The sequence below is a fragment of the Homo sapiens genome, chromosome 16 (genome assembly GCF_000001405.40).
Source record: "Homo sapiens chromosome 16, GRCh38.p14 Primary Assembly".
NCBI lineage: Eukaryota > Metazoa > Chordata > Mammalia > Primates > Hominidae > Homo > Homo sapiens.
The window spans coordinates 33,891,047-33,901,868 of NC_000016.10; positions in this window are offsets into that span (position 1 = coordinate 33,891,047).

The window sequence follows — 10,822 nt, forward strand, 5'->3', positions numbered from 1 at the left end:
GTTACCAAGGCTTATTTTGAACTCCTAGACTCAAGTGATCCTCCTGCCTTGGTCTCCCAGAGTGTTGGGATTACAGGCGTGAGCCAGCAAGCCTGGCCTAGAGCAAGTTTTAGAGTACAGTTTGTTATTGTTTGTATGGCTGCTTTTTTTTTCTTTCTTTCTTTCTTTTTTTTTTTTTTTTCACAGAGTCTCACTCTGTTGCCCAGGCTGGAGTGCAATGGCACAATCTCAGCTCACTGCAACCTCCACCTCCTGGATTCAAGCAATTTTCCCACCTTAGACTCCTGAGTAGCTGGCACTAGAGGCACGTACCACCATGCCCAGCTAATTTTTGTATTTTTAGTAGAGACGAGGTTTCACTATGTCGGCCAGGCTGGTCTTGAACTCCTGACCTCAAGTGATCTGCCCACCTCAGCCTCCCAAAGTGCTGGGATTACAGGCATGAGCTACCACGACCGACCTGTTATGGCTTTTTTAAATTAATTATTTATTTATTTATTTATTTATTTATTTATTTATTTTATTTTATTTTATTTTTTCAAGACAGGGTCTTGTTCTGTCACCACGGTTAGAATGCAGTGGTACTATCTTGGCTCACTGCAGCCTCGACCTCCTGGATTCAAGCAGACTTCCCACTTCAGCCTCCAGAGTAGCTAGGACTACAGGTATGTGCAACCATGCCTGGTCAATTTTAGTTTTTTGTACAGCCAAGGTCTCAGTATATTGCCCAGGCTGGTCTCAAACTACTGGGCTCAAGTGATCCTTCCACTTCCACCTTCCAAAGTGCTGGGATTACAGACGTGAGTCACCATGCTTGGCCTGTTACGACTTTATTGAGATTTATTTCACGTACCACAAAATGCACCCTTTTAAATGCTACAGTTCTGTGATTTTTAGCATATTCACAGATATGTGTGACCATCACCACAATCTAACTTTAGATTATTTCAACTCCCTGAACCCTGACCACTTGACAGTCATTCCCCATTCCTGCACCCTCCTCCCTGCCACCTACCTCCTCACCCCGACCCACAGCCCTAGGGAATTAGTAATTTACTTTCTATCTGTATGGATTTCCCATTGCAGACACTTCCCACAAATGGAATTATGCAACATGTCATCTTTTGTGATAATCTTCTTTCTACATGTTTCCAAAATTCATCTATGTTGTAGCATGTATCAGTACTGATGCAGGGCAGGCAAGCCCCCAAATTGGGGTTTAGCAGAGGAGGATTCTTGGTTTTGTCTGGGAAATAATTCAAGGGTGAGCCGGTGGTGTTAGACAGCAGCTTTTATTGAAGCGACAGTGCACAGCAGCAGAGGTGCTGTTCCTTGTGGAGCGGGGCTACCCCGCAGGCCGTGTGCTCAGAGTAGCAGCTCAGAGGTGGGTCTGCACTCATAGTTACACCCACTTTTAATTGTATGCAAATTAAGGGGTAGATTATGCAGAAATTTGTAGGAAAATTTTGGTAACTTTTGGGTCATTGGGTCGTTGCCATGGAAAGGGGTGGTAATTTCTGGCTATTGCCGTGGCAATGGTAAACTGAAATGCTGCACTGGTAGGCATGTCTTATGGAGAACTGCTTCCACTCCATCTTTGTTTTAGCTAGTTCTCAATTTGGTCCAGTGTCCAAGAGCTGACTCTGGAGTCAAGTCCCACCTCCTACCTCAGTATTTCATTCTTTTTTTTTTCTTTTTTTATTTATTTATTTATTTATTTTTTTGAGACAAGAGTCTCTCTCTGTTGCCTAGGCTGGAGTGCAATGGCGTGATCTCGGCTCACTGCAACCTCTGCCTCCCAGGCTCAAGCGAGTCTCCTATCTCACCCTCCCGAGTAGCTGGGACTACAAGTGTGTGCCAGCATGCCCGGCTAAGTTTTGTATTTTTAGTGGAGAAGGGGTTTCACCATGTTGGTCAGGCTGGTCTTGAACTTTTGACCTCAAGTGATCCACCCACTTTGGCCTTCCAAAGTGCTGGGATTACAGACATGAGTCACTGCGCCCAGACTGAATAATTTTTTCTTGTACGGATATATCATATTTTACTTATCCATTCATCGGTTGATGGATATTTAGGTTGTCAGTACATGAACATTTGTGTACAAGTTTTTTTTGTGTGTTGACATATGTTTCAGCTCTCTTGAGTATATCCTAAGGAATAGAATTGCTGGATTTTACAATAACTCTAGGTTTAACATTTTGAGGAACTGCCAAACTGTTTTCCAAAGTGGCTGCCCCACCAGCCATGTAATAAGCATTCTAATTTCTCCACATTCTTGTCAACACTTGTTATTGTCTGTCTTTTTACTGCAGCCACCCTAATATGTATGAAGACGTAGCTCATGGTTTTGATTTGTATTCCCCTGATGACTACTGATGTTGAAAATCTTGGCCAGGAGCGGTGGCTTATGTCTGTAATCCTAGCACTTTGGGAGGCTGAGGCGGGCGGATCACAAGGTCAGGAGATCGAGACCATCCTGGCTAATGGTGAAACCCCATTTCTACCAAAAATACAAAAAAATTAGCCGGGCATGTTGGTGGGCGCCTGTAGTCCCAGCTACTCGGGAGGCTGAGGCAGGAGAATGGCATGAACCCGGGAGGCAGAGCTTGCAGTGAACCGAGATCGCACCACTGCACTCCAGCCTGGGTGACAGAGCGAGACTCCATCTCAAAAAAAAAAAAAAAAAAGAAAATATTTTCATGTATATAATAGCTATTGGCATATCTTCTTTGGATAAATGTCTTCAGATCCTTTGCTTATTTTTATTTAAATTGGGTTGTCTTTTTATTGTTGAAGTTTTATTGTTCTTTATATATTCTAGATATGAGTCCCTTGTCAAATATGTGATTTGAAAATGTTTTTTCCCGCCAGGTGTGGTGGTGCATGCCTATAATCCCAGCTCAGGAGGATCACTTGAGCCCAGGAGGTCAAGGTTACAGTGAGCCATGATCATATCACTGCATTCCAACTGGAGCCACAGAGTGAGTCCCTGTCTCAGAAAAAAAAAAAACCACACACACACACACACACACACACACACAAGCACACACACACTTTTTCTTCCATCCAATGATTGGTTGTCTTTTCACTTTCCTAATAGTATCCTTTGACACACACAGTTTTTAATTTTTATGAAGTCCAATCTATCAATTTTTTTTCTTTTATAGGTTGTGCTTTTGGTGTCGCAGCTAGAAGATCCTCACACCTCAGCCTCCCAAGTAGCTGGGACTACAGGCATACACCACCATACCTCACTAATTAAAATTTTTTTTTTTGCCTGTGCATGGTGGCTCATGCCTATAATCCTAGCACTTTGGGAGGCTGAGGTGGGCAGACCACTTGAGGTCAGGAGTTTGAGACCAGCCTGGCCAACATGGTGAAACCCCGTCTCTACTAAAAATACAAAAATTAGCAAGGCGTGGTGGTGGGAGCCTGTAATTCCATCTACTCGGGAGGCTGGGGCAGGAGAATCACTCTAGCCCAAGAGGTGAAGGTTTCAAGGAACTGAGATTGTGCCACTGCACTCCAGCCTAGGCAACAGGGTGAGACTCCATCTCAAAAAAGAAAAAAAAAAAAGAGGAAAAAAATTTTTTTGGTAGAGAGGGGGTCCTGCTATATTGCCCAGGGTGGTCTTGAACTCGGTGTCCAAAAGTGCTGGGATTACAGGACCTGCCACCACACCAGGCTAATTTTTGTATTTTTAGTAGAGATGGGGTTTCACCACGTTGGCCAGGCTGGTCTCGAACCCCCCGGGCTCAAGGGATCCGCCTAACTCAGCCTCCCAAAGTGCTGGGATTACAGGCGTGAGCCACCGGCCTGGCCTCTTCTCACATTCTTGATGATGTCTCGTGACGTACAGAAGTTTTAAATTTTTCTGTTTTTTCTTCCATTGTTCAAGCTTTTGGTGCCAAATCTAAGAATCCATTGTCATATTCAAGGACATGAAGATTTACCTTATGTTTTTTTTCTAAGAGTTTTAGATTTTATTTTAGAGTCTGTGATCTATTTTGAGTTAATTTTTGTAGACAGAGTGAAATAGTGGTCCAATTTCATTCCTGTGCATGTGGTTATCCAGTTGTCCCAGCACCATTTTTTTTTTTTTTGAGATGGAGTCTTGCTCTATCGCCCAGGCTGGAGTGCAGTGGTGCAATCTCGGCTCACTAACCTCCGTCTCCCGGGTTCACACCATTCTCCTGCCTCAGCCTCCCGAGTATCTGGGACTACAGGCACCCGCCACCACGCCCGGCTAAGTTTTTATATTTTTAGTAGAGACGGGGTTTCACCATGTTAGCCAGGATGGTCTCGATCTCCTGACCTTGTGATCCGCCCACCTCGGCCTCCCAGCGTGTTGGGATTACAGGTGTGAGCCACTGCACCCGGCCTCCAGCACCATTGTTTTAGAAAAGATTATCATTTGCCCCATCGAATGGTCTTGGTAACATTGTCAAATATCAAATTGACATCCAGTGTGTATCATGGATGTAAAAAATATATGTATCAGTTGACCATAAATATTTGGGTTTATTTCTGGATTCTTAATTCTTTTCCATAGGTCTATTTATCTAGCCTTATGCCAGTACCACACTGTTTAGACTACTGCAGCTTTGTAGTAAGTTTTGATATTGGGAAATGTAAGTACTGCTACTTTGTTTTAAATTTTGTTTTCACTATTTGAGGCCCCTTGGAGTTTCCTATTTAGTGGATTCCTTAGAATTTTCTACATACAATCTCATGTCATCTGCAAATAGAGACAGTTTTACATCTCTATTTGTGGATGGCTTTTATTTCTTTTTCTTGCCTAATTGCCTGGGCTAAAACTCCCAGTAGAATGTTGACTAGAAGTGGTAAGAGTGGACATCTTTTCTGTTTCCTGATCTTAGAGGGAAAGCTCTCAGTCTATTAATTTAATAGCATGAAATACGATATTAGCTGTAGTTTTTTTTTTTTTTTTTAAGACAGTGTCTCCCTCTGTCACCCTGGCTGGAGTGCAGTAGCTCAATCATGGCTCACTGCAGCCTCGATCTCCTGTGCTCAAGCAATCCTCCTACTTCAGCCTCCCAAGTAGCTGGGACTACAGGTATGAACCACCATGCCTGGCTAGTTTTTGTATTTTTTGTAGAGACGGGCTTTCACCATGTTGCCCAGGCTGGTCTTAAACTCCTGGGCTCAAGCAAGCCACACACTTCAACCTCCCAAAGTGCCAGGATTATAGGCATGAGCCACCCTGCCTGGCCTAGCTACAGATTTTTCATAGGTATGTTTATCAGGTTGAAGAAGGTTCCTTCTATTCCTAGTTTATTGAATTTTATAATCATAAAAGAGTGTTGAATTTTGTCTTGCTTTTTCAGCATCTATTGAGATGATCATGTAATTTTTATTCTTTATTCTCTCAATTTTGTGCGTTTCATTGATTGATTTTCAAATATTAAACCAACCTTGTATTCCTGGGTAAATCCCACTTGGTCATGGTGTATAATCCTTTGTATACGTTTCTTGATTTGTTTTGCTGGTGTCTTTTTGTTGTTGTTGTTTTGAGACAGAGTCTCGCTCTCTCTTCCATGCTGGAGTGCAGTGGCGTGATCTCAGCTCACTGCAACCTCCACCTCCTGGGTTCAGGCAATTCTTGTGCCTTAGCCACCAGAGTAGCTGGGATTACAGGTGTGTGCCACCACACCCAGCTAATTTTTGTATTTTTATTAATAGTAGAGATAGGGTTTTGCTATGTTGGCCAGGCTGGTCTCCAACTCCTGGCCACAAGTGATCCGCCTGCCTCGGCCTCCCAAAGTGCTGGGATTACAGGTGTGAGTCATCACACCCAACCGGTTTGCTTGTAGCTTGTGGAGGACTTTTGTTTCTATAGTCACAAGGGATATTAGTCTGAAGTTTTCTTGTGATATCTTTTTCTAGCTTTGGTATCAGGGTAATACTGGCCTCACGGTTCCTTCCTCTTCTTTTTTTGAAAGAGTTTGTGAGGGATTTGTATTAATTTTTCTTTAAATATTCGATAGAAATCACCAGTGAAGCCATCTGGGTCTGGAATTTTCTTTGTTGAAAGTTTTTAAATGACTAATTAAATCTTTTTCCATGTTGTAAGTCTGTTCAGATTATTTATGGGTTCTCCTTCTTATGTCAGTTTTGGTAATTTATGTCTTTCTAGGAATTTTTTCATTTCTTCTATTTATCTAACTTGCTGGCATGCAGTTGTTCACAGTGTTCCCTTATTATCCCTTTACTTTTGTGTGTGTGTGTGTGTGTGTGTGTGTGTGTGTGTGTGGAGATGGACTCTTGTTCTGTCTTCTAGGCAGAGTGCAGTTACACGATCCCAGCTCACTGCAACCCCTGCCTCCCAAGTTCAAGTGATTCTCCTGCCTCAGCCTCCTGAGTAGGTGAGATTACAGGTGCCCGCCACCACACCTGGCTAATTTTTGTATTTTTAGTAGAGACAGGGTTTCACATGTTGGCCAGGCTGGTCTTGAACTCTTGACCTCAAATGATCCACCCGCCTCGGCCTCCCACAGTGCTGGAATTACAGGCGAGAACCACTGCACCCAGCCCCCCTTTACTTTTTATAAGTATTGATAGCTCCCTTTTCATGCCTGAGGTATTAATCTGAGTCTTCTCTTTTTTTTTTTTTTTTTTTCTTGGTCAGTCTAGCTAAACAGTTGTCATTTTGTTGCTCTTTTCTAAGAAAAAACTTTTGGTTTTACTGACTTTCTCTATTTTTTCTATTTTCTATTTCATTTATTTTTACTCATACCTTTATTATTTCCTTCCTTTGGCTTTCTTTTGGTTGAGTTTGCTCTTCTTTTTCTAGTTTCTTAAGGCAGAAGTTTAGGTTATTAATTAGAAATCTTTCTTCTTTTCTAATACTCACATAGTTACAAATGTCTCTCTAAGCACTGCTTTAGCTGCATCCAGTAAGTTATGTTATGTTGTGTGTTAGTTTCCATTCATCTCAAGATATTTTCTAATTTCCCTGTGATTTCATCTTTCACTCATTGATTATTTAGGAGTGTTTTAAAATTTCTACATATTTCTAGCCGGGCATGGTGCCTCACGCCTGTAATCCCAGCACTTTAGGAGGCCAAGGCAGGCAGATCACTGGAGGTCAGGAGTTCGAGACCAGCCTGGCCAACATGGTGAAACCCCGTCTCTATTAAAAATACACAAATTAGCCGGGTGTGGTGATACACTCCTGTGGTCCCAACTACTTGAGAGGCTGAGGCAGGAGAATCACTTGAACCCAGGAGGCGGAGGCTGCAGTGAGCCGAGATAGTGCCACTGCACTCCAGCCTGGAGGACAGAGCAAGACCCACCTCGAAAAAAAAATAAATTCTACATATTTGTTAATTTCCTCGGTTGTCATTTTCTAATTTAATTCCATTGCAGCTGGGGAACAGACTTTATATAATTTCAATCATTTTCCATTTATTGAGGCTTGTTTTAAGGCCTAGTATAAGTCTATCCTGAAGAGTGTGTCATGCGTAGCTGAGAACAATGTGTGTTCTGCTGCTGTGTGGAGTGTTTCGATGTCTTTCAGGTCTTGGCTTACAGTGTTGTTCAAGGCTTCTACTTCCTTGTTGATCTTCAGCCTTGTTGTTTTATCCGTTATTGAAAGTGGGGGCCGGGAGCAGTGGCTCACGCTTGTAGTCCCAGCAGTTTGGGAGGACGAGGTGGGTGGATCACCAGGTCAGGAGATCGAGACCATCCTGGCTAACACGGTGAAACCTCGTCTCTACTAAAAATACAAAAAATTAACCGGGCATGGTGGCGGGCACCTGTAGTCCCAGCTACTCGGGAGGCTGAGGCAGCAGAATGGCGTGAACCCGGGAGGCGGAGCTTGCAGTGAGCAGAGATCGTGCCACTGCACTCCAGACTGGGCAACAGAGTGAGACTCTGCCTCAAAAAAAAAAAAAAAAAAAAAGGAAAAGAAAGCGGGGTATTGAAGTCTCCAACTACTATATTGAATGGTCTAATTCAGTTCAGTTCCCTCCAGTTTTATTAGTTTTTGCTTCATGTATTTTGGGCTCTGTTGTTAGGAGTATATATGTTTACAATCATTTTATCTTCCTCATAAACTGCCTCTTTTATCATTATAAAAGATATTGTATCTTTAGTAACAATTTTTTTTTTTTTTGGAGACAGAGTCTTGTTCTGTCGCCTAGGCTGGAGTGCAGTGGTGCTATCTCGGCTCACTGCAACCTCCGCCTCCCAGGTTCAAGCAATTAGGATCTCCTGTCTCAGCCTCCGGAGTAGCTGGGACTATAGTGCATGCCACCACGCCCAGCTAATTTTTGTAGTTTTAGTAGAGATGGGGGTTTCACCATGTTGGTCAGGCTAGTCTTGAACTCCTGACGTCAGGTGATCCACACATCTTAGCCTCCCAAAGTGCTGGGATTACAGGCGTGAGCCACCTCGCCCAGGCTTCAGTAAGAATTTTTGTCTTAAAGTCTAATTTGTCTCACGCTTATGTAGCCACCCTCTCTTTTAATAACTCCTCACATGGTTTCTTTTTGCATCTTTCTACTTTCAACTCTTGTGTCTTTGACTCTAAAGTAAATCTCTCACAGATCATTTTATTTTATTTTATCCATTCTGGGCTGGGCCCGGTGGCTCACACCTGTAATCCCAGCCCTTTGGGAGGCCCAGGTGGGAGCATCACTTGAGCCCAGGAGGTTGAGACCAACCTGGTTAAGATAGCATGACCTCGTCTCTACAAAAATTTTGTTTTTAAAATTAGCCAAGCGTGGTGGCATGGCCCTGTAGTCCCAGCTATTTGGGAGGCTGAGGTGGGAGGATTGCTTGAGCCCAGGATGTCAAGGCTGCAGTGATCTAGGATCACACCCCTGCATTCCAGCCTGGGCAATTGAGCAAGTCCCAGTCTTATAAAAAGAAAAAAATAATAATCCATTCTGCCAATTTCTGCCTTTTGATTGGGGTGTTAAATTCATTTACATTCAATGTATCACTAATAAGCTAGGATTTATGTCTGCCATTTTGCTAATTGTTTTCATATGTCTTGCCTTTTTTGTTCCTCTACTCCTTGATTCTGCCTTCTTTCTTTCCTCCTTCCTTCCTTCCTTCCTTCCTTCCTTCCTTCCTTCCTCCCTCCCTCCCTCCCTCCCTCTCTCCCTCTCTCTCTCTTTCTTTCTTTTTTTTTTGGAGACACAGTTTCACTCTGTTGCCCAGGCTGGAGTGCAGTGGTGCCATCTTGGCTCACTGCAACCTCCGCCTCCCCAGTTCAAGCAATTCTCCTGCCTCAGCCACCCGAGTAGCTGGGATTACAGGCATGCACCACCACCCCCAGCTAATTTTGTATATTTAGTAGAGACGGGGTTTCACCATATTGGCCAGGCTGGTCTCAAATTCCTGGCCTCAAGTGATCTCCCCACCCTGGCCTCCCAAAGTGCTGGGATTACAGGCATGAGCCACCATGCTTGGCCTTCTCTGATTCTTGAAGGGGCCTGAAGTAGATAGGGAAACCCTGCATTCCAATATCTGTTGTCAATGCAAAAATTTTCACGGCCAGTTCTCTGTCAGGGTCAGGGTCATGGGGAGGTTTCTTATGGGGCAAGGGTTGGGGTCAAGGAATTTGAGGAACTTGAATAGGGCAGGGCCGAGGAAATCAGAGCCTGGTCAGGAGCTAGACTTCTCCCTGTACCAGTGGGGGTGCTCGGGGATTATTGCAGGCCGTAAAGAAAGCTAAGCATTAGGCGAGGGACCACCAGAGAAGACAAAAGTGGTCCCCTTCCTCAAGAACTTAGAATTAAGATGATAAGGAGAGTGGGTGCCGTGGCTCATGCCTGTAATCTCAGCACTTTGGGAGGCTGAGGCAGCAGGATCCATTGAAGCCAGGAGTTCAAGAACATCCTGCACAAAGAAGCAAGACCCCATTTCTACAAAAAGATACAAAAACATTAGGCAGGAGTGGTGGTGTGTGCCTGTAGTCCAGCTAACTCAGGAGGCTGAAGCAGGAGGATCACTTGAGCACAGCAGTTAGAGGCTGCAGTGAGCTGTGTTCAGGCCACTGCACTCCAGCTTGGGTGACAGAGCGAGACCTGTCTCAAAAAAAAAAAAAAAAAGATGATAAGGGAGGCTTCTGAGTAAAGAACAGCTCTACTCCACCTGCCGTGGAGCTGAGAGACCGCCATGTGTGCCTGCCCACACTCCTACCCAGGACAGCCTAAACCATCCACACAGGGAGGCAGGATCAGAATGTGGCTGTAACTTGGGGCACCGACGCCGCCTGGGTGTCCTGGACACAGCCTGGAGAAAGTCTAGAGACAGGGCTGTCACATCTAGAACAATGGTTTCTGATGAGCTTGGGAGCACCCTGTCCAAATTGAATCCTCCCGAGAAACCCAGCAATGTGAGACAGAACCAAGAGTGGCTCAGATGGAGGCCGTGGGAGCTTGGATGCCTGCACACTTGGTCCTCTCATATACCTGTTGGTGGTCACAACCCCATGGTGGCTCCAGGGAACACAGTTTGACCATCACGGACCTGGGTTTTAGAGTCAGGCAAGAGAGACAGAGGCTGGCAGTCGTGAGTGTCCGGCACTTGCAGGATTTGTGCCCACCCTCAGCACTCACAGCCTGGTGGGAGGCCAGGCCCTGGTGCCCAAGGCAGCCCCTTCCCTACAGCTGGGACAGGAGGCCACAGGTTCTCAGACACCTGGTGCCTCCTGCTTCCCTGACTCTGATTCCTGGTCTCCCCAGTAGATGAGACTGAGACCACTGCGGCAAACACAACTCAACGTCCCTGTCCCTGCAACAGTTATTCCTATCGCTGTACTTAATAGACTGGCAGCCTCATCCATGCC